Source organism: Homo sapiens, chromosome 19 (assembly GCF_000001405.40).
Source record: "Homo sapiens chromosome 19, GRCh38.p14 Primary Assembly".
Classification (NCBI taxonomy): Eukaryota; Metazoa; Chordata; class Mammalia; order Primates; family Hominidae; genus Homo; species Homo sapiens.
The window spans coordinates 15912145-15936072 of NC_000019.10; the positions used below are offsets into that span (position 1 = coordinate 15912145).

Below are 23928 nucleotides of genomic sequence, written 5' to 3' on the forward strand. Positions count from 1 at the left end.
AAGTTTTTTTATGGATATCAGCAATCTAATTCTACAATTTATATGGAGAGACAAAAGACTCAGAATAACCAACACAATATTGAAGGAGTAGAACATAGTTGGAGGACTGACAATATCCAAGTTTTAAGACTTACCGTGAAGCTACAGTAACCAAGATGTTGCGGTATTGGTAAAAGAAAAGAGAAATAGGTCAATGGAACAGAATATTAAAAGCCCAAAAAATAGATCCAAATAAATATAGGCAACTTATATTTGATAAAGGTGCAAAGGCAATACGATGGTCCCAAATAAAAAATATAATGTATTTGGAGATCAGAATCAAGGCCAGAGTAACCGAGTGTAGCAAGGGAAGGAGATCAGCTACAGAAGAGATTAGAGAAGTCAACAGGGTTTAGCGATGCAACATCCCTTAGGCTATGAAAAGAGATCAATGTTTGTAGCAGGATTTTATTTTGAGACACTGACTGAGGTTTCTCTCATTCTCCTACCACCTCACACAGTCAGGTACCTTCACCATCCTCAGGAAAAAAAAAAAAATATATATATATATATATGTGTGTGTGTGTGTGTGTGTGTGTGTGTGTGTGTGTATATGTATATATGTGTGTGTGTGTGTGTGTGTGTGTGTATATATATATATATATAATATATATATATATATACATATCTTATATGCACAGCCCTCTAGGAGAAGAGGTTGTTCAAGGAGCACAGATATTAGAATTTTTGCCTTTGAGTTCCAAAACACAGCCTTTAAAGTCGTGGTAGAAATAACGATCTTGAAAGACAACATTCTTTAACAGCCAGACTTTCTGAGACAGGAAATAATAATGGCTCCATATATTTAGCATTCATTGTGTGCCAGGCACAGCTCTGAGTCCCTTATATTGAGACCTCAGGAAAACCCTGATATAGGTAATGCTGTTGTCTCCATTATATGGTTGAGGGAACCGAGGCACAGAGAGAGGAATTAACTTGCTCAAGTCACGCAGCAGAGCCAGGACTTGAGCCCAAGCAGTCTGGCTCCAGATCCTATGCCTCTGAAAGTAAGGGAAGAGAGTCACAGAGAGAACGCACTGGGAGGGGGAGAAACAGGGGTGGGAAGTTGGTGGAAAAAGGAACTAAAAATTTCTGAGAGCCTGCCAGGGTGGAAGCTGCACCCCTTTCCCTTTGTTCTGAGCTGAGGACTCCAGTCTTGGGAGGACATTCCCAGGACAGATGAAGGGATCTGCCCCTATGGTTGTTTCTCGCTGAATCAGAGTCTCAGTCTTGCTCCTTAAACCCATTCTTAATCCTGTTCCCTCTCCTGCTCAAACACCTCCCAGGGCTCCCTACTGCCCACAGGATAAAGTTTTTACTTGGGCTCTGGGAGAACCCACTAAGGGCCTAGATGCCCTGTGCTCAGCCAGAGAGGCCGTCAGGGTTTTGGGTTCAGAGACGTCACCCTGCCTCCACCCACTCACCTCCCTTTCTTAGATCCCACCAGTCCCCAGGAGCCCCATGCTGGCTGTCAACGAGGCTCAAGCAGAGGTGTCAGCATAGTTTTGTTTCTGGGACTCTACAGAGGTGGGTGGGTGGGTAGGACAGTCACTGTGAGTTCGCACCCAGGGGCTCCACCCGCAGCCAAAGTCCACCCTCTGCGCGCAATATCAGCTCGGGTTTCCTGCGGGGTTCAGTGTGGGTCGGCAGGATGCGGAAGTGCAGCAGGGTGAGCGCCAGGACCACCTTCATCTCAGCCATGGCGAACGCCTGCCCGATGCAGTTTCTGGGGGCAAAAGTGAGGGAATCTGACTGTGCCCATGACCCCCATCCCGGCCCCATCATGCTTAGAACCTGGCCTGGGACCCCAAACGCACCCACATAGGCTTGAGGGGCAGAAAGAGGGGATAAGTGTCCACAGGACTCCCATGTGTGCTTGCATATCCCCCAAACCTGGCCCAGGCTCCTACCCCCAGTTCAGATAAACAGATGAAGGAGGGGACTCTGAGCACACCGCAGACCCCTCTAGGACCTTCCCAAACCCATTCTGTGAACAGTTGCCCATGAACTCCTGAGGAAGGGAGGGAAGGAGAGCTGGAACTGGGACCATCTGTAACTTCCCCCTTTTTGGACCCCTGCACCCATCATGCCATCTCTGCCTCAGACACAGGCCATCCTTACCTGGGCCCTGCCGAGAAGGGAATAAAAGCCAGAGGTGACCTCTCCTTGATGTTCTCTTGGTCGAAACGGAAGGGGTCGTAGACCTGCAGGTGAGACCAAGAAGGCTTGCTGGGTGGGGTCACCCAGTTGGGTGGGGTCTCCCAGTTGTCTCCAAGACCCCCGGCCTTGGAGAGACATTTTGGCAGATGTGTCTCCATTGAGGAGAGGTGATGTTGGATTTTCCTGGTCAAAACCCTGTCACCTCCTCTAGGAACCTTGGAATGGACTCCAAAAAGGGTGGGGTGAGGGAGGCACTACCTCAGGGTCTGGCCACACAGTTGGGTTGTAATGGATCCCGATAATATTGATGAGGCAGACAATGCCTGTGGGAGAGAAGAGGGCAGTCAGGACAAGGCCCCCCTGCCTGAGGGACCCCTCTTGCTACCCAGGAGGCTCCTCCCCCTGAGGCTGTGAGCACCTTTGGGGATGACGCGGCCGTCTGGGAGCACAAAGTCCTGCGTGCAACATCGGGAGATGACCGGGACTGGGGGATGCAACCGCAGGCTCTCCTTAATGCACATGGTCAGGAAGGGCAGCTGGGCCAGGTCGTCCCTAAGAAAACACCCCAGCCCCAATCATTATCAAGGGAACAAAGACACAATTCTCCAGCTTCTCTGTTTCCAAGCGAGACTTTTTCTCCCTATCACAAAATAAATTCCACATGGATGAAATACTGGAGAATTTAAAAAGCAGAAAAAAATTAGAAAAGCAGAAAATTAGAAAAGTACCAGAAAAAAATGGTGCCGATTTTTTAAAGATTATTCTGAGGAAAACACAACACTCTGAAGCCAGCTATTAAAAAGGTTAACATATTGGCCTAAAGGTAAATATCCTTTATGGTAAGAAAGCAAACACAAAATGCAAGTGAATAAGAAACAAAATACCCAGATCCACTGTTTTGCTCTTATTCATCATTGTATTAGCGATAGTAGCAAATGCAATTAGACAAGGGAATAAAAAAGAGAGGAATGCAATTTGAAATGTGGTGGTGGCAGACGGTGATTTTATACTTAGAAAAACAGAACACTTCACTGGAAAACATTTATAAACATTTAAGACCCAGTAAGGGAGCTGAATTGTTTGCTTAATCTTTCTTCTTTTTCTGTGGCTGTTTAAAATTTTAATACATTGTACACTTAAGTGGCTCTAAATTTAAAAACTATAAAACATCCTCTACCCCTATGGCCCAAAGTCACCTGCTTCTTCTCCTCACAGGTTGCCTAAGTTATTATTATTTTTATGTATCTTTCTAGAGATAATTTTTAGTATCTTAAAAATATGAGTACATCATATACTATACACATATTCCATATCTTTTCTCATTTAACAGTATGTCAGTCTTTTCTTGTGTAGCTCCTGGGACTTGTATCAAAATAGGGTTATCCCTACTCTGAAGCTATAAAATAATTTTCCCATGGTTTCTTCTAGAGCTTTTAACAGCCTTTAAAAAAAACTATATACTTGAGTAATCTAAACATTGTCCTATTATAAGACATGGCAACCAGATTGAGTTGATTTTTTTTCCAGGAAAATAAGAAGCATCTGGAAAAAGATAAAAGATAAGATATTAATAATAATGATAATAATATAAAATATCTGAATTAAATTTTAACAAGAGACGTAAAGTCTCTGTATTTCCAATGAATTTATACATTTCCCTCTATCTGAATAAAAGATACATTTCACCATAGCAACAAAATATCTAAGGATTGATTTAACAAAACATGCATATGATATCTAGGCAAATATTTTAAGCTCTATTAAAAGCTTAAATATTATTTGAATACATTAATAACCATTTTACTATGACAAACTATGTGTCAATATTATGATGTTACCTGTTTTCACACATATCAATCACATATTCAAGTCAAACAAGAGAATATATTCAGTGCAAATGATAATCTATCTAATTTTTAGGAACTTGATGAACTTACTCTAAACTTTTTTGGGAAGAAAAACATCATAAAGAGCTAGGTCAATCTGAAAATAAAATATTAGAGAAAAGCAAGTCGGCTTAGGCAAAGAATGCATGACTAAGACCTCAAAAGCAAATGCAACAAAAACAAAAATAAAGAAATCGGTCCTAATTAAACTAAAAAGCTTCTGCACAACCAAAGAAACAATCAGCAGAGTAAACAGGCAACCCACATAGTGGAAGAAAATATTTGCAAATTATGCATCTGACAAGGGACTAGTATCAAGAATCTACAAGGAACTCAAACAAATCAGCAAGCAAAAAATCAAATAACCCCATCAAAAAGTAGGCAAAGACATGAATAGGCATTTCTCAAAAGAAAATGTACAAACGGTGAACAAACATATTTAAAAATGCTCATCACTAATCATCAGGGAAATACAAATTAAAACCACAGTGAGATACCCCCTACTTCTGCAAGAATAACCATAACTAAAAAGTCAAAAAACAATAGATTTTGGTGTGGATATGGTGAAAAGGGAACACTTTTACATTGCTGCTGCAAATGTAAATTAGTACAACCTCTGTGGAAAGCAGTAAGGAGATTCCTTAGAGAACTAAACGTAGATCTACTATTCCATCCAACAATCTCACTACTAGGTATCTACCCAAAGGAAAAGAAGTCGTTATATGAAAAAGACACATGCACACGCATGCTTATAGTAGCACAATTCACAATTGCAGGGATATGGAACCAATCTAAGTGCCCACTGACAAATGAGTGGATAAAGAAAATGTGACATATATACACCATAGAATACTACTCAGCCATTAAAAGGAATGAAATAATGTCTTTTGCAACAACTTGGATGGAGCTGGGACCATTATTCTAAGTGAAGTAACTCAAGAATAAAAAACCAAATATCATATAGTCTCACTTATAAGTGGAAGCTATGCTATGAGGATGCAAAAATATACAGAGTGATATAATGGACTTTGGGGACTCAGGGAGGGACGTTGGGAGGGAGGCAAGGGATAAAAGGTTACATATTGAGTACAGTGTACACTGTTTAGGAGACAGGTGCACTCATCCATGTAACCAAAAACCACCTGTACCCCACCCCCAAATTACTGAAATAAAAACAGAAGAGAAAGTCATTCTACCAGACATTAAGACCTATTACTGAGTTACAGTAACAAATGTAGCATGGCAAAGCTGCAAGAACAGAAAAACAGACCAAAGAATGGAATAGGGAGCTCAGAGACAGATATGTGAATAAGTGAAAACCCACATCTGGTAAAGGAAGCCCCACAAAACCCTGGGAAATGGATGGATAGTACAGCTACAAAAGAAAATGTGGACAAAATTGGCTTCATATAAACTAACCAAAAGTGTCCCCAAGAAGTCAAAAGGCAACAAAAGACAGAAAAAAAGATTTATTTTAACACATAGTCTCATAAGTAAATATGGGAAAATAACCCAAAGGAAAACAGCAATGTAAGATGATCTCTTCCACAAAAAGAAAAAAAATGGCAAGAGATGTTCTATCCCACTCTTATTTAAGGAAACGTTCACTAAAAGAAGAAATATGCAGACTGACAAAAATTTAGTGTGGTGAGTCCTCAAAGATCTAGGGGCAGAAATACCATTTGACCCAGAAATCCCATTACTGGGTATAGATCCAAATGAATATAAATCATTCTGTTATAAAGATATATGCATGCATATGTTCATTGCAGCACTATTCAGAATAGTGAAGACAAGGAATCAACCCAAATGCCCATCAGTGATAATCCAGACAAAGAAAATGTGGTTCATATACACCATGGAATACTATGCAGCCATAAAAATGAACAAGATCATGTCCTTTGCAGGAACATGGATGGAGCTGGAAGCCGTTATTCTCAGCAAACTAATGCAGGAACAGAAAACCAAACACCACATGTCCTCACTTACAAGTGGGAGCCGAACAAGGGAAACTCATGGACACATGGTGGGGAACAACACACTCTGGGGCCTGTCACAGGGAGGGGTTGGGGAGGTGAGAGCATCGGGAAGAATAGCTAATGGATGCTGGGCTTAATACCAAGGCGATGGGTTGATAGGTGCAGCAAACCACTATGGCACACGTTTACCTATGTAACCAACCTGCATAGCCTGAAACTTAAAATAAAAGTTGAAAAAAATAATAATAATAATGTAATACTCTTGGCGAAGTTATGGGAAAGCTGTTGCCATCAAACTCAGCTAATAGGAATAGATTTTTTATTATTATTAAAATTGTGGAGTAAAATGGCCTTTTATTCTGCAATTGCACTTTTGGGAATTTGTCCTGCAGAGATATTCACACAAATAAGCAATGGTCACTGTACACACATGCTGACTGCAACAGGTTTAATTTAGCAAAAGTCTGAAACAAGCTAAATATACATTGATGGAAAGAGGTTTAGATAAACATCCACACAACAGAATGCTAGTACCATAGAATACAATGCAACTACAAAAAAGGAGGAAACAGGTCACTAGCTGTGTCACACAATGCAGGCTGGAAGGTAAATCAGTACAGAGATTCTGGAAGGCAAATTGGCCATATCTACAATAACTGGAAAGATACACAAGTGCTTTCAACAAAGGTGTGAAACAAATAAAATATGGAATGTTATGCCATGCTAAAAAAAAAAAAAACAGCTGTAAGACACACTGTCGAGTGGCAAAAATAAGCCACAAAATGCATACATGTAAATAGCAAAGGGCAAAATACATAGTATATATATATATGAAATACATATTTCTATGTATATGGAAATATACACATTTCATTGACTCCTAATTATTAAATTAAATAAACATATTAATAACATTATAATTTAATAATTAGGAATATATATAGTATATATGGAAATATATATTTCTATGTATATGAAATATATACATTTCATTGACTCCTAATTATTAAATTAAATAAATATGTTAATAAATTTAATATATATTAAAATATATAAATATGTATATATTTCATTGACTCCTATTTATATAAATAAAATACATAGTATATATATGGAAATAGATGATATAGATAGATCGATGGATGGATAGATAGATAGATAGATAGACAAGAAGGATGAATAGATAGGATAAAGGATGGATGGACGGATGGATGGATGGATGGATGGATGGATGGATGGATGGATGAACGGATGGACAGATGTATAGATAGATAGATAGATAGATAGATAGATAGATAGATAGATAGATAGATAGACAGATAGATAAGCAGACAGTTAGATGACAAATTGATGTCTCAAGAGACCCCTTTAGGGAAAGCGAGGATATTAGGTGGGGTGGTGGGAATGTCAAGGTTAAACCCTGTCTTATCTGTAGTGTCGCATTGAGTCCAAGAAGAATCTGTTCTCATCATTGCTTTTGGAAGTCAACACTCATTTTCCATGTATAAATGCAAAATAGAATGGTACTCAGTCTTTAAAATGAAAAGAATCCTGTCGTTGGTGACAATATGGATGATTCTGGAGGACATTATGCTAAGTGAAATAAGCCAGGCACAAGAAGACAAATAGCAAATGATCTCAATTACCTGTGAGAGCTAAAATAGGTTACATAGAAATCACAGAGACAGAAGAAAATGGTGGTTGCCAGAGGAGGGAGGAAGAAAGAACAGGAAGATGTTGGTCAAAGGGTACAAGTTTCCATTAGACGGGAGGAAAAAGTTTTGAGATCTATTATATGCATGGTGACTACAGTTAATAATAATAGATTATGTTTTCCAAAACGGCTAAAAGAGAAAATTTCAAATGTTCTCACTGCTAAAATAATAAGTATATGAGGTAATGGATATGACCATCAGGTGGATTTAATCATTCTGCATTGTGTACATCATAACATCACAGTGTACCCCATAAATATATATAATCAAAATTTGTCAATTAAAAATAAAGACAAATTAAAAAACAAACTCATTTTCTAAAACTCATATTTTGAGAAAAACAGAAGATGGTAAAGATACATTGTTAGTGGGCAGACCTGTGTCTATTTTATGTACTCCTACTCACACAGAAAAAGAGAGCATGTGTTCATATACAGTGGGCATCAGGATAGCCATTTTCTAGGACACACAGAAAACCATTGATGATGGAAACTGCCAGAGTGAGGAGTGTGAGGCTTAAGAAGGAAGCTCATTTTTTATCAAAATTTTTGGACACTTTTTTAAACAATGTGTAATTTTGCTTGAAATCTTGGTTTTAAAAGCATAAAAATGTTTCTCCACCTTACAGGACCCTGTGCTGAGCAAAGGCTTGGATGTAAGGGCACTACCTTCAAAAGGCCTGTCCAGCTCAATGTCTCCTCTCCATCCCCAGCTCCTGGCCTGGCTCAGACCTCAGAATGTCCTTCCCTGGGACTTCCTTCTACAACTGGTCCTCTCCAGTATGCCCTCTACACTAGCCCTAAAAAGATTCTCCTGCTACCTGTCTCTTCCCATTGCCCTTGAGTTAAAATTGAAGTTCTTGACTTTTTTTTCCATGTATTCCACACCCAGGCTCTGCTGCCATCTCCAGGTTCATCATCTCATCATGACTCAGTTTCTCCCTCTCTATTCATCTCTCTGTTTCTGTCTTCCCTCTCTCTTTCTTTCTCTCTTGCTTTCCTTCTCTCTCCATTCTCTTTTTATGACCTTCTCCCTCCCCCTGCACACAAGCCACTTCTCTCTTTCCCTCTTTTCTTTCTCTTCTCTCTCTCTGTTTCTCTCACTCTTGGTCTCTCTCTCTCTCTCTTTCTGTCTCTCTCTCTCTCTCTCTCTCTCTCTCTCTCTCTCTCTCTCTCTCTCTCCCTCTCTCTCTCACTCCCTCTCTCCTCCCTCGACCTTTGCCTAGGCTCTCTTCTTGACCTAGAGCCCTACTGCATCCAAATATCTACTGATCATTATTAAGGATCTCAACTGAGACACCTCACTTTTATTTTCATCTATTCATGTCTTTTAGAGAAAAATTCTCACTATGTTGTCCAGGCTCATCTTGAAGTACTGGCCTCAAGTGATCCTCCCACCTCAGCCTCCTGAGTGGCTGGGATTACAGGTGCCAGCCACTGTGGCCGGGTGAGACACTTTCTGTACCTCCAGTCATGCTTCTCTTGTTCTCAGCCTCATCCCTGCCCATGTGGGCTGGGAGTTTCCTGTCCTGGGACTGTTCCCCCACCAGGCTGGGAGCACCTGGAAAACAGATCGCAGGGCTGGATTCTTCCAAGCTCTCCAGAGCACCGAAAGGTGCTAGATACAAAACTGGGGATAGGAATACAGTGTAGGAGCATTTGCTGAATGAAGACTGGATGGATGAACAATGCAGGTGTTCTGGATAGGAATGAATGACTTTTACCCTCAGGTCTCTCTTATAAATCCCTGGACTGTACAACAGGATTGAAATTAGGGTAAGGAAGAGCAAACATTCAGAAAGTGAAGATGTTTGAAAAAACATGATAATTCAGTGAAAAGAGGAGGTGGAGGAGAAATTCATTTGCTGAACACATGCTAAGTGGCATCATCTGCCTTCACATGCTGTCACAAATTCTCCCAGCAGCCCAGGTCCCAAAAGCCTGCAAACCATCCCCTGCTGGCCTGGCTGTGTATTAAGCCCTGCCTCTGAGATTTGCACCGATTCCCACTAAGCGATAATGGAAGAATTGACCAAAAAAACTCCCTCCCTCTGCCCACCTGAGGAGCAGAACCAATGACAAAAGATCAGGAACAGGCCAGCACCTGCACTCACCATTCAATCTCTATAGGTTCACGGTCCTTCAGAAGCTCTTGCACTTCTTGCCGGCACTGTTCCTGGTATTCTGGGTGCTTTGCAAGGTGGTATAGGACCCAGGAGAGACCACTGGCTGTAGTGTCATGGCCTGAGGGGCAGCCAAGCAAAACTGGGTTTCTGGGCTGCTTCAGCACCAGAGGGAGGAGAGCACCCAAACTCTGAGGCCCTCAGGAGAATGTAGGGAGGAGGAGGATGGGCAGAATTAAGTGATCCAGGGTCCACCCACTACGTTCCTGGGATGGAGAGGCCCCTGTCCCCACCGTAGTCCCACACTGAGACCCTCACCCTCAAACATGAAGGTGTCAGCTTCTGCTCTTATGTCCTCATCAGACAATTCCTTCCCATCTTCATCCTGGAGAGAAGGCAAGACAATATCCCTGCCCCAAATCACACCAGCTCTGAAGGCTCTTGAGTCAAACCTAAGATAATTTCTGAAGATCCATCCTCCTTCCAGAAACCCAAGCCCATCATGCACTCCTAGATGTCTCTTGGTCACCACCATCAGAGCCCACCACCCACAGGCTTCCCGCTGGCTTCTTCACCTCCTATTTGGCCCTGCTGGGAAGAGTCAATGACCTATGGATATTTTCTTGTTTCGAATAATGAGGACTTTTGGAGTAAAGCATTAACTGGCAACCTGGGTTACAGCATATTTCAATGGCAATTTCACTTGGAGGTTAGAAATTAAGTATTGGCTGGGCGTAATGGCTCACGCCTATAATCCCAACACTTTGGAAGGCCGAGGCAGGTGGGTCACCTGAGGTCGGGAGTTCGCAACCAGCCTGACCAACATGGAGAAACCCCGTCCCTACTAAAAAAAAAATTAGCCTGGCATGGTGTTGCATGCCTGTAATCCCAGCTCTTCAGGAGGCTGAGGCAGGAGAATCACTTGAACCCGGGAGGCAGAGGTTGCAGTGAGCCAAGATCACACCATTGCACTCCAGCCTAGGCAACAAGAGTGAAACTCTGTCTCAAAAAAAATGAAAGAAAGAAAGAACTGAAGTATTACTCTGAATGTATTTGCTCACATTCTAGAGTGGTAAACTCAGAGAATACTTCTTATCTTTCCAGAAGGCATCTGGGTTATAAACCTATAAACCTACAGGCATGTCGATCTCACTGGAAAGGAGTAGTTTTTATTCCAGAACAAAGCAAACATCCTCTCTCTCTCTCTCTCTCTCTCTCTCTCTCTCTCTCTCTCTTTCTCATTCCCACTCTCGCCCTGGAAGGAAGAAGGGGCAGATGTGCTAGCTAGCTATCCTATATAAGCCCCAAGATGTATACTGTGGGGCCCCTCTCTGCAGTGCATTCTGGTGTATTTACAGGTAAAAACATTGCATTACCCTAGAAGGAATATGGGAATAGAGAGCCAGCTCTACAATCCTACTCTGGTTGCTGCTATTGCTGTGAATGATGAATAGGCTGCTGTGATCCAGGGATTTGGTGCATCTGTCATCATAGATATAGACATAGATAGATATGCATAAAAATATGTCAGCCTAACTTGCTAACATGTAAGTAGAGTAAAATCTCAGGCTCCTCACTATTTCAAACTTAGCAGTCCCCTGCCAGCTGAATTCCACAGAGTCATCTCTCAAACCTATCTCTGACCTGTCTTTTTCAAGCATGTTCCATGGCTCCCAGTGCCCTTTGGATCAAGTCCAAGTTCTTTCATTTGACAGAGGCATAAATCTCCACTCTATTACTTGAATTCACATCCCAGAGAAGCCTACCTTGCTCAGCAGAAGCACATCAATGAAGTCTAAAGTCTTGGACTTTGCCTTGTTCTTGAGGAAATCATCAATACCCTGAGTGGGGAGGGTGCAGCGCCGCTCCTGGATGACGGCATCTGTGAAGTCGTGCACCAGGTGGCAGGCCCTGCGGAAGCGCTGCCCATCAGGAGTGAGATAATACAGGAAGTCCGTGTGCAAGAGAATCTGCTGGTTTCTCTTTTCTACAAAGGCACTGAGCTCCAAGATGGCGGCAATATATTCACTGGGCTTCCTGCATGAAGGAGGTAACAACTTAACATATGCAAAGTCCCAGGAGCACCTCTCACCAGCAGCTAGAAGCTACTGCCCATCAGGAAATTGAGTATCCAGAAACAGCCAGGAGACTTGACTCTCCAAACTCTCTTCTCTGAGGCATTCCATCTCTGAGAGCTGCCTCCATGCACCAAGGTACCCAGAGCATAGCTTGGACACCATGCTTCTCTCCCGTCTCTCCCACCCAGTATCCAGCCTGCACTCTTTTCCTTCCAAAAACTGTTCACAAAACTCAGACCTCACTGTCTTCCAGCTCTTTCTGACCCAGCCCCCACCATAACAGACTTGCATTCAATGTCTGCTCCATGTAGCGTCTACATGACAGGCAGACCTCCACAGAGCTCAGCTGTGACCACATCTGTCATCGGCCCAACCCTCTTCAAAAGATTCCTGGGAACCTCCTGATAAAGTTCATGCCACTTTTCCTGATTTTCAATGTCCTGAAATCTATCCCCTGTCTACTTCCACAACCTCATGTCTACTGTCTCTTTCCCCCTCCCCATCCTTCAAAGCCCAGCTATGACACACAGAAAGTGCCTTCAGAAAGGCACTTCTGGTTACCCCGGTCAGCCATCCTTTTCCAGCCTACTCCCTTGGGTTCCAGGCCCAAGTTCTCAGGTCCTAGGAAAGGACTCACTCCTGACAATTGCTTTCAAAGCTGAAGACACATTTCTGCAGACTGTCCAAGGTCATGAGGCTGATGTGTTCAAACATGTCCAGTCTGGCGCTGCCCTCTGAGGCCAGGCGCTGCCACTTGTCCTGGCCAGAGAAAAAACAGAGCCAAAGCTGGGAACTGCCTCCTGGGAGCACCTTCCCAGACCCAAACATCAAGATGGACTCCCTGCAATCATCCTCCTGGTCCTCTGCCCCAGGTACCCATCCCCAGGAAGGACCAGCCTTGGATAGGAGCAGAAACTGTTACTATTAGGAGATAAAGACTCATGGCTGGGAGTCGAGAGATCTGGGTTCAAGTCCCAGTTCAGCCTCCTATGGTCTGTGTGCTCTTGGTCAACCTCCTGCACTCCCATAGGTCCCATCTATCAAATCTTCAGTAACAGTTAGGACAACATGCTTTGGGGCCAGATAAACCAGGACAGAATCACTGCTCCACCACTCGTAGCTCACTTACTATCTGGTTGAACTTTGGCAAACTCCCTAATCTCTCTGGACCTCAGTTTCATAGTCTGCAACAGGGCAAAACCAACCAAAGCCTCATGGGGTTATTAAAATTAAATTCCTAAATATGTATCATGGAGTTGGCAAATGGTACTGTTTCTGGGATATGGTGAGTGCTCAGTAAATGTTGGTTTTACTCATCTCCATTGCTATAAATTCATTTCAAAAATATCCCTATTACTTGGGAGGGGAACATTACACACTGGGTCCTGTCAGGGGTTTGGGGACAAGGGGAAGGAAAGCATAAGGACAAATACCTAGTGCATGTGGGGCTTAAAACCTGGATGACGGGTTGGTGGGTGCAGCAAACCACCATGGCACATTTATACCTACGTAACAAACCTGCACGTTCTGCACATGTATCCCAGAACTTAAAGCAAATGTGTGTGTGTATATATATATACACACACATATATATATACATATATGTACACACACACACACACACACACACACACACCCTGTAGTTGTTTGGGCCGTTTCTCAGAATTGTGTTTGCAGAGAACAACATTGAGAGATAAGGCAATGACTGCTCCTGGACACATATCAGGCTTGCTTCTGCTTGCTAAAAAAGCACATTCCCGGCCGGGTGCAGTGGCTCATGCCTGTAATTCCAACACTTTGGGAGGCCAAGGCAGGTGGATCGTGAGGTCAGGAGATCGAGACAATCCTGGCTAACATGGTGAAACCCCGTCTCTACTAAAAATACAAAAAATTAGACGGGCATGGTGATGGGCGCCTATAGTCCCAGCTACTCAGGAGGCTGATGCAGGACAATGGCGTGAACCCGGGAGGTGGAGCTTGCAGTGAGCAGAGATCATGCCACTGCACTCCAGCCTGAGTGACAGAGTGAGACTCCAGAAAAAAAAAAAAAAGAAAGCAGATTCCCTAAGCCTAGTGCTCCTTTCCTTCCATGCACCGTACTGCATAAGCAGGCAACTATTCAAACCTCTCTATGGCACCCCGTGGGATTTAAGTGGTTTGGAGAAATTATGCAAACCAAGAACATGCTGCTTGCTATGCCGTGAGTAATAAATTGCTGTTTGTCTCTGACCCAGGACTCTCGTATCTCCTTGCAGAATCCATGAAGTATTAACAAAACTAGCTTATCAGCTTGCAATTAAGAAAAACATCCTAAGCACTTCACAAAATCCCAACTCCCAATTCTTCACTTCTCCCTTTGCACTGTGATTTCCAGCAACTTCTATTAAGAGATGGAGACTGTTTTATGACCCTTTGAGTCTGTGCTAACCTAAGCCTGGTTGAACTTTGAAACATTGCAGAGAAAATGTCCAGAGACATTGCAGTCTCCTGGCAGTCTCTCAGAACCCAGTCTGTGCCATGTGAACAGCAGGGTGCCTCCGGGAGGCAGAGAAACACATGGAGAAAAGTCCAGGTGTCACAGCTGAGGCCATCCCAGGTCAGCCTAAAGCTAGCAAAGCCCCAAACAAACATGTGAATAAACTGAGCCAGGATCAGCAAAGCTGCCCACATGACCCACAGCTGTTCATGTACCAAGAGTGATCCCATCCACATGCAGAAGAACCAGCCAACTGTCTCACACACTTGTTAAGTATAATAAACCCTTATTGCTCTAAACCAATGAGTTTTCAGGCGGTTTGTACTCAGCAATTGCTACTATGCAATCTTGATCTTTACTCTCTTGAGTTTGAAGGATTTCTGTGAGAGAAGCATGGAAACTCACACCTTTTGAGACATACTATGTGCTGGGGACATGAATCCATTACCACCTTTTAAGTAGAGATTGTTATTCCCATTTTACAGATAGGGAAACCAAGGCTCAGAGAGGAAGAGCATTGTCCCCAAAGCACAACCAAAATTCCAGAGCAGATATGCCTGTGGTCCCTCTACCCCAAGGCTCCAGCTGGGACCCAGAGTTCAAGGGACTCACGTGCATGATGTTCACACTCTTGTTGAAAATCTTCATATAAGGCTTCAAGATGTTGAAATGGAAGGCAGGCGTCAACATCCGACGGTGGCGGCTCCACTTGTCACCACCACTCAGCAGGAGCCCATCCCCTGGCAGGGCAACCAAGGACAGTGGTCAAGGGCAGCACCCTCCCTTATCCCTAAAGGATATCCCCAACCCCATTCACCTCAATTACTCACCCAGCCAGGGCTTCAGGAAGCCATAGAAAATCATATCCTTGGGTGCGACAGCAGCTGACATGATTGAGGACCATCAGTGGCCATGGAGAGGGGTGAGAGAAGGACTTTGGGTATGGAGGAATGCTCCCAGCCAGGGGTGTGCACTTCCACGCATCCCACCCAGCATAGCAGGAAGAAGGCCAAGGGTAGAGGAAGAAGGGAGGATGGTGGAGGAAGGAGAGACCAGACCAGGCTGCAGCGACAGAGTAGAGCAATAACACAGCATGCCCCAGCACACAGTGACATATCTCCTACAAGGTCCAACATGTTCTGCAACACCTGAGCATAGCTCAACACTCTACAGAATGCCTTTACAGGGACCTAGGACACTCTGTCTACTCCCAGCACTCTCTGCTATCTTCTGACATGGATCTGGGACCTGGAATATTGCCCCGACAGTTGTTAACATTCCCTGACATGGCCAAAACACATATGACAAACCCTAAATGACACAACATGCTCTGCCATGGACCTGAGATGGTCTGATATGACTTCTGTGTATCCCAGTGAAGGGTCCTAGATAACATTTAAATATGATGTCACTAATGTCCTAAACATGGCCCGGGTATAACCAAGCCTATTCTTCGGCATAATTCAAATCTACCCTAAGACCTAACTATACTAAGACTCAAATAATATCTCAGACAGTTCTCAAAGATTCCCTGGGTCCTACACCTTGGACAAGCACCAAACATGGCCAAGACATTTGAAGTAGAATAAAAAGACAATCTCACACTACATCTCAGACAAGAACCAAAAAGACTCTGACATGCCCCAAATGTCCTCAGCCACAACTGAGCCCCACACATGATGACTTCTGTATATGATCCCAGGTGGAAGCATATACCAGATACAATCAAATATAATGTAGAAAACATAGGCTATATATGGGACCCTTGGAAGAAAGGTGGGCTTTCTGATTGGAACTGGGCTTCTGAGACTCATCGTTGACACCATATGAAAAGGCAAAGTGACACAGAGAATGGTAAAATCGAGAGAAGGAGACAGATTCCCAGTGATGTGGATTAATTGACACCTGGATCCAACCATGCCTGAAGACCACTCTCCCCAGACTTACAGCACATTGATTCTCTTTATTTGCTTAGACCACATGAGTCTGAGTTTCCATCACTCGCAACTGAAAGAGACTTCAGCAGCCAGAGAGAGCTGAGGACCTGCCCAGAGTCACTCAGCATCCTGAGGTTATAGCCATAGTTTCTGTGGGATGCTTCCCCTGCCCCTGCTTAGTCTGGCCTGTTCAAGCACAGGATGAGCAGAGGTAAAGAAAGGGCCCCAGACTGGGGTGGGATCTCCTACTGGAGATTGCTGGGGCCTGGAGCAGGAGAGCCATGAATAGGGTGGATGAGTGACAGGATGAGGTAAAAGGAATAAACTCACCAGACTTGAACATCACATAAATAGCAGCCCAGATTCTCCACCAGCCTCAAATCCCCCTAGTACCATAGGCTTAGGGACAGACAAGGCTGATGCCAGGCCTGGCAGCGGTACCTGTATACTAATGATGTCCACTGCATCACCCTTCCCCTTGCTTTAAAATCTTTTTACTCATTTTTCCAGCAACTCCTCCTCCAGGAAGCCTTCCAATCTGCCCCCAGGAAAGACCTTGTTCTCCCAGTTGTCACACCCATCTCCTTCTTGCCAATTCCTGACTCCACGAAGTTTGAGATGTCTCTGTCCAGATCCATTTCCTCAAGCACGGGGCTTTCTCGAGGACAGGGCCCTAAATTGAGGCTTTTTGGAGCCCCAGTGGTGCCCAGAACACAAAGGCAGAGAGAGATGGCAGTGGAGGGAGGAGACGCTGACATGGGGGGTTCGTGAATACATGAAGGAAAGAGGAACATGGCTGAGAGAGAAGCAGGAAGAGGGGCCTGGGCCCTGCAGGGGCCACACAGAAGCTTGGGGAGGGGAGAGGCTAGAAGGCCTTTGATGTTTCCCAGCCCCCACTACCACAAGCTCTGCACGGGTACCTGAGGCACTGGTGATAGGCCGGATAATGTCAGGGTGGCATAAAATGAGGAGGGGGAAGGTAGGACCCAGCCACAACTTAAAGCCCTGGGGATATGTGGTCACCAGCTGGGTCAATGTCTTCATGCCCTCTTCCGTGGGAGTGACCTGAAAACAAGGCAGAGGCCGTCAGCCCTTGTGATGGTTAATTCTAGGCATCCTGAATTAATCATGAATTCCACGTGACCGAGCCAAGAGATGCCCAGATAAAACATGCTGGTAAAACATTATTTCTGGATGTGTCCATCGGTGTATTTCCAGAAGAGATTCACATTTGAATAGGTAAACTGAGGAAGGATGATCCACCTCCCCAGTGGGGGTGGGTGTCATCCAATCCTTTGATGGTGCAGATACAACAAAGAGGCAGAGGAAAGGGTGGATGTGCTCATCCATCTGCTCCTGTCCTTGGACATGAGAACTCCAGGTTCTCAGGCCTTTTGGGACTCAGACTGAATTTACAACTCCAGTGTCCCTGGTTTCTGGCTTGCAGATGCTATATCATGGGACTTCTTGTCCTCCATCATCACATTTTCCAATTTCCGTAATAAACTCTCTCTCTCACGCTCTCTCTCTCTCTCTCTGTCTCATACATGCATGAGATATAAGCGGGAAGATATCCTGTCAATTCAGTTTCTAAAGAGAACCCTGAGTAATGCACCTCCCCACCAGGAGCCACATCAAGTTCCCCCTGCAGCCTCCAGATGTGGTGCAGCCTCTGCCCTGAGCATCGTGTCTGGATTCTGAACAGCTGCAGAGAATCTCAGCTGACCCCTGCTCCTTCTCTCTTGGGGCTGTCTCCAAGATCCAAAGATAATGGCCGGGCGTGGTGGCTCATGCCTGTAATCCCAGCACTTTGGGAGGCCATGGTGGGTGGATCACCTGAGGTCAGGTGTTCGGGACCAGCCTGACCAACACAGCGAAATCCCCGTGTCTACTAAAAATACAAAAATTAGCCAGGCATGGTGGCTCACACCTGTAGTCCCAGGTACTCAGGAGGCTGAGGCAGGAGAATCACTTGAACCTGGGAGGCGGAGGTTGCAGTGAGCTGAGATCGCACCACTGCACTCTAGCCTGGGCAACAGAGTGAGACTCTGTCTCAAAAATAAATAAATAAATAAAAGATCCAAGAGTAAATACCAAAGCAGAGGGAGAAGGCAAGCTGTCTGCTCAAGAGGATGTGTTTTCTCGTCTTGGAAATGGTTTCAACCTGGGGATGGCCACATGGAAAAGTCCGCATGGAAGGAGGTCTGTGGACAGCAGTGTGGCCTCAGGACATGTCCCTGAGGCTGGTTCCTACATCCCTTTCACGTCCTGGCTGGTCCCCACCAGCGGCTGTTCCTCCCACACTGGGGACATTCCATTCTCAGCAGCCCCCAGGCGTAGAGGAGTGACTCTTAACTGTCTACAGTAAGCACCTCCTGCAGGCCAGGCTCTGTGCTAGTGTGTCCTATTCACCCTCCACTGCACCGATGGACACGCCCATCAATTTTGCCATTTACAAGTGAGCAGACCAAGGCCATGTCCCCCAAATGGGAGAGCAGGTCTAAGTCGGAGGCCAAGGTCTGCGGAGTCAAGGACAGCTTCTGAAAAGAGAAGGGAGTGGCCAACTTTTATTCAGGCAGGTAACAAGGCCGACTGGGACATGTTAGTGAGGAAGAGCAAGATAGGAGGAAGGTGCCTCCAGAAAAGGAGGCAGCGGGAGACTGCCCACACTTCTCTTCTGGACCCTCTGTGTCCCTGCGTATGGAAAGGGGCTCAGAGCTAATTCCTGTGAGAAAGCAGCAGCACAGAGATGGGCAGACACAAGCAAATGGGCCAGGCAGGGAGTAGTCCCTGGACAGTAGACTCAGGAGGCCTCAAGTCCAGCAGTGGAGAAGGTGCAAATGCCAGGAGATCTTTGCTCTGTGCACCCATACCACTCCCACAGGAGACCCTCAGAGGTGCAGTAACACAGGGAAGACAGGCAGGAAAAAGATCCAAGCAGGCTGGAGTGGGAGGACAGGGAGGTGAGAAAGACTTGGGATGGCACATCAGAGGAATGAGTGAGCGGGGAGAGGAATGAGTGAGCGAGGAGAGGAATGAGTGAGCGAGGAGAGGAATGAGTGAGTGAGGAGAGGAATGAGTGAGCGAGGAGAGGAATGAGTGAGCGAGGAGAGGAATGAGTGAGCGAGGAGAGGAATGAGTGAGCGAGGAGAGGAATGAGTGAGCGAGGAGAGGAATGAGTGAGCGAGGAGAGGAATGAGTGAGTGAGGAGAGGAATGAGTGAGTGAGGAGAGGAATGAGTGAGTGAGGAGAGGAATGAGTGAGTGAGGAGAGGAATGAGTGAGTGAGGAGAGGAATGAGTGAGTGAGGAGAGGAATGAGTGAGTGAGGAGAGGAATGAGTGAGTGAGGAGAGGAATGAGTGAGTGAGGAGAGGAATGAGTGAGTGAGGAGAGGAATGAGTGAGTGAGGAGAGGAATGAGTGAGTGAGGAGAGGAATGAGTGAGTGAGGAGAGGAATGAGTGAGTGAGGAGAGGAATGAGTGAGTGAGGAGAAGAATGAGTGAGTGAGGAGAGGAATGAGTGAGTGAGGAGAAGAATGAGTGAGTGAGGAGAGGAATGAGTGAGTGAGGAGAAGAATGAGTGAGTGAGGAGAGGAATGAGTGAGTGAGGAGAAGAATGAGTGAGTGAGGAGAGGAATGAGTGAGTGAGGAGAGGAATGAGTGAGCGAGGAGAGGAATGAGTGAGCGAGGAGAGGAATGAGTGAGCGGGGAGAGGAATGAGTGAGTGGGGAGAGGAATGAGTGAGTGAGGAGAGGAATGAGTGAGCGAGGAGAGGAATGAGTGAGCGAGGAGAGGAATGAGTGAGCGAGGAGAGGAATGAGTGAGCGGGGAGAGGAATGAGTGAGCGGGGAGAGGAATGAGTGAGTGAGGAGAGGAATGAGTGAGCGAGGAGAGGAATGAGTGAGCGGGGAGAGGAATGAGTGAGCGGGGAGAGGAATGAGTGAGTGAGGAGAGGAATGAGTGAGTGAGGAGAGGAATGAGTGAGTGAGGAGAAGAATGAGTGAGTGAGGAGAAGAATGAGTGAGTGAGGAGAGGAATGAGTGAGTGAGGAGAGGAATGAGTGAGTGAGGAGAGGAATGAGTGAGTGAGGAGAGGAATGAGTGAGTGAGGAGAGGAATGAGTGAGTGAGGAGAGGAATGAGTGAGTGAGGAGAGGAATGAGTGAGTGAGGAGAGGAATGAGTGAGTGAGGAGAGGAATGAGTGAGTGAGGAGAGGAATGAGTGAGTGAGGAGAGGAATGAGTGAGTGAGGAGAGGAATGAGTGAGTGAGGAGAGGAATGAGTGAGTGAGGAGAGGAATGAGTGAGTGAGGAGAGGAATGAGTGAGTGAGGAGAGGAATGAGTGAGTGAGGAGAGGAATGAGTGAGTGAGGAGAGGAATGAGTGAGTGAGGAGAGGAATGAGTGAGTGAGGAGAAGAATGAGTGAGTGAGGAGAGGAATGAGTGAGTGAGGAGAGGAATGAGTGAGTGAGGAGAGGAATGAGTGAGTGAGGAGAGGAATGAGTGAGTGAGGAGAGGAATGAGTGAGTGAGGAGAGGAATGAGTGAGTGAGGAGAAGAATGAGTGAGTGAGGAGAGGAATGAGTGAGCGAGGAGAGGAATGAGTGAGCGGGGAGAGGAATGAGTGAGTGGGGAGAGGAATGAGTGAGTGAGGAGAGGAATGAGTGAGTGAGGAGAGGAATGAGTGAGTGAGGAGAGGAATGAGTGAGCGGGGAGAGGAATGAGTGAGCGAGGAGAGGAATGAGTGAGTGAGGAGAGGAATGAGTGAGTGAGGAGAGGAATGAGTGAGTGAGGAGAAGAATGAGTGAGTGAGGAGAAGAATGAGTGAGTGAGGAGAGGAATGAGTGAGTGAGGAGAGGAATGAGTGAGTGAGGAGAGGAATGAGTGAGTGAGGAGAAGAATGAGTGAGTGAGGAGAGGAATGAGTGAGTGAGGAGAAGAATGAGTGAGTGAGGAGAGGAATGAGTGAGTGAGGAGAAGAATGAGTGAGTGAGGAGAGGAATGAGTGAGTGAGGAGAAGAATGAGTGAGTGAGGAGAGGAATGAGTGAGTGAGGAGAAGAATGAGTGAGTGAGGAGAAGAATGAGTGAGTGAGGAGAGGAATGAGTGAGTGAGGAGAAGAATGAGTGAGTGAGGAGAGGAATGAGTGAGTGAGGAGAAGAATGAGTGAGTGAGGAGAAGAATGAGTGAGTGAGGAGAGGAATGAGTGAGTGAGGAGAAGAATGAGTGAGTGAGGAGAGGAATGAGTGAGTGAGCAGAGGAATGAGTGAGTGAGGAGAAGAATGAGTGAGTGAGGAGAAGAATGAGTGAGTGAGGAGAGGAATGAGTGAGTGAGCAGAGGAATGAGTGAGCGAGAAGAGGAATGAGTGAGTGGGCAGAGGAATGAGTGAGCGGGGAGAGGAATGAGTGAGCGGGGAGAGGAATGAGTGAGCGGGGAGAGGAATGAGTGAGCGGGGAGAGGAATGAGTGAGTGGGCAGAGGAATGAGTGAGTGGGCAGAGGAATGAGTGAGCGGGGAGAGGAATGAGTGAGTGGGCAGAGGAATGAGTGAGCTGCCTCCCTCTCTTCTCTGTGTTCCCACACCCCAGCCACCCTCAAAACCCAGCTCCCTGAGCCCCATTCCTGCCCCTCAGGAACTCCATGCATCCTGAGACCCCAGACCCGTCCTGCTGACAAACTCACCAGGCCCTGGTGTCCCCAAAACCAGTTCTGTTTCGGGGGTTGAGGAAAACACTGGAGGCGGCGGCAGTTGTCATAGAAGGTGTAGGTCCAGGCCAGGACGCGGGCCAGGAGCCAGGAGCCTCCAACCAGCAGCAGAAGCAGCCACGGGGATGCTGCCACGGGCCCGAGGCCCAGCCAGGACAGGCTCAGCTGCGGCATCCTGCAGGGCAGACGGGATGGAGGGTGGGATCCTGAGGCCCAGGGAAGGGCCCAGGAAGCTCCAAGGACAGTGGAAAGGGGCAAGGATGGGCAGTGCTGGAGGCAGATCAGGGAAGGCTCTGAGATGGGTAAACAAGAGCTGAGATCTAAAGTCCAGAAATGCCCAATGAAAACCAGCAGCCAAGTGGCCTCCAGTTACACAGAAAGGGAAAGAGAGAGAGAGGCTGATTAGAATCCAAAAAGGCCCAGCCTGAATCACTGGGAGGTTGCCAGGGGTCCAGTTACCAGGAAATCACCAGTCTCCCAGGCCAGCAGCCTTGACCCACCCCAACCTTGGGCAGTCCCCTCCCCATCCCAGGCCAGGACCCTCCAGCCCTGCCACTGCCAGCCTGGCTCCTATCAGAAGCAGCTTGTCCCACATACCCTCCTCTCCCCCTCTGCTAGGAGGTCTTTGCCTCTGGCCCCTGATTTCCGGAAGGCTGTGGGAGGCGAGGCTGGGCTGGGCTGGTCGAGCCAATCCCCATGGACTGGGTGTGTCTTCCAAGCCTGGGCAACCAACCAAAACCTGGCGTAGGGCCAGCTGGGTGCAGAGGAGCCAGCTCAGGGTGACACAGCATGGGCACAGGATCCGCAGGTCTCAACATCTCACACCTGAGTGGGAGGGGATCTTGAGGAAGAGTCAAAGGTGACTCTGAGCCCCAAAGTTTACAGCCACCTTGCCCTTCCAAGGCAAGAGTGTGGCAGATAAAGTCATGAACTTGAGAGTTCAGGTGGCAAGAGAGTGGGGCCAGGCCAACCATTGTGCCAGATCATGTTCTGAGCTCCTCTCCACATGTGGTCCAGGAGTTCATCATGCACCATTTCTCAGTGCAGACTTAGGAGATTCAGAGACAGAAGCTCCTGGCCTCTGGCTTCACAGTCTGGCAGGAGTTCAAGTCCTGCCTCCAGGCAACCCAGGGCCTGGGTCGAGACATGACTGACAGGAGTAGGAACAAACTATCTAACTGTGCTGGGGATTACCCGGTCAGATTTTAGAGATAAAGAGCCCCGCTGGAGGAGAATACCTGGAGGCTAGGTTCAGCATAGGAGGACAGAGAGGGGAGATGGGAGGTAAGGCTGAGAGGGGCCATGAGTGGATGGGGCCAGGGACAGGAGGGCAGAGATGGGGGACCCTGAGTGGAGTCCTTATTCTGCCCTCCCCTTGCCCTAACTGTGGGTAGTGAGCCCCTCCTGGACTCAGGCTTCCCATCTGGGAAATGGGATGTCAGATAAGGCCTTAGAGGGGGACAGAGGAGGGATCACAGGAAAATGGGCCTTAGATGGGGACAGATGAAAGATTCTGAGGAGGGAGTGAAGGGAAGGGGCTGGCAGCTAGCACTTTAGCTGCTGTGTGTCAGTCTCTGCTCTTTGCAAAAGACAATATGCAAAGTTCTTTTACTGTGTACTGGACTCTAAATAAAGCACACCTACCATGTGCCAGGTACTCTGTATACATGTTGTGTACTGTGTGCCAAGTGCTCTATGAAAAGTGTGTCCACTGTGTGCTGGGCGCTCTACAGAAAATCTTGCTTCTTTGTTCTCGGTCCTCTATATAAAGTGAAATTTGTGCGGAGTAACTTATGTAAAGTGTACCTACTCTGCACCTGCTGCTCTATATAAAACAC

At 46.3% G+C, this 23928-nt stretch overlaps 1 protein-coding gene across 2 annotated transcripts; it reads right to left on the reverse strand.

The window, feature by feature from the left end:
* CYP4F11 (cytochrome P450 family 4 subfamily F member 11) lies at positions 233 to 22723 on the reverse strand. Of its 2 annotated transcripts, NM_001128932.2 has the most exons (13): positions 22688 to 22723; positions 22067 to 22265; positions 17313 to 17457; positions 15286 to 15339; positions 15068 to 15195; positions 12617 to 12738; positions 11668 to 11938; positions 10220 to 10286; positions 9893 to 10022; positions 2618 to 2751; positions 2458 to 2522; positions 2161 to 2243; positions 233 to 1765 (listed from the first exon to the last, which is right to left on the reverse strand). In NM_001128932.2, exons 2-13 carry the CDS (start codon positions 22262 to 22264, stop codon positions 1588 to 1590), a joined length of 1575 nt encoding a protein of 524 aa, NP_001122404.1. In that variant the 5' UTR covers position 22265; positions 22688 to 22723; the 3' UTR covers positions 233 to 1587. The 2 variants fall into 2 exon arrangements, with proteins under 2 accessions (NP_001122404.1, NP_067010.3); NM_021187.4 differs by lacking the exon at positions 22688 to 22723 and having other exon boundaries at positions 22067 to 22385.

What these genes read in the sequence shown, in the direction of transcription:
- CYP4F11 (NM_001128932.2), bottom strand. Translation starts at nt 22,264, where the DNA reads ATGCCGCAGCTGAGCCTGTCCTGGCTGGGCCTCGGGCCCGTGGCAGCA. An exon ending in ATGTGCTTCTGCTGAGCAAG is followed by an intron (nt 10,287 to 11,667) that starts GTAGGCTTCTCT and finishes CCTTCTCTCCAG; the next exon opens with GATGAAGATGGGAAGGAATT. An exon ending in CGGCCGCGTCATCCCCAAAG is followed by an intron (nt 2,523 to 2,617) that starts GTGCTCACAGCC and finishes TCTCTCCCACAG; the next exon opens with GCATTGTCTGCCTCATCAAT.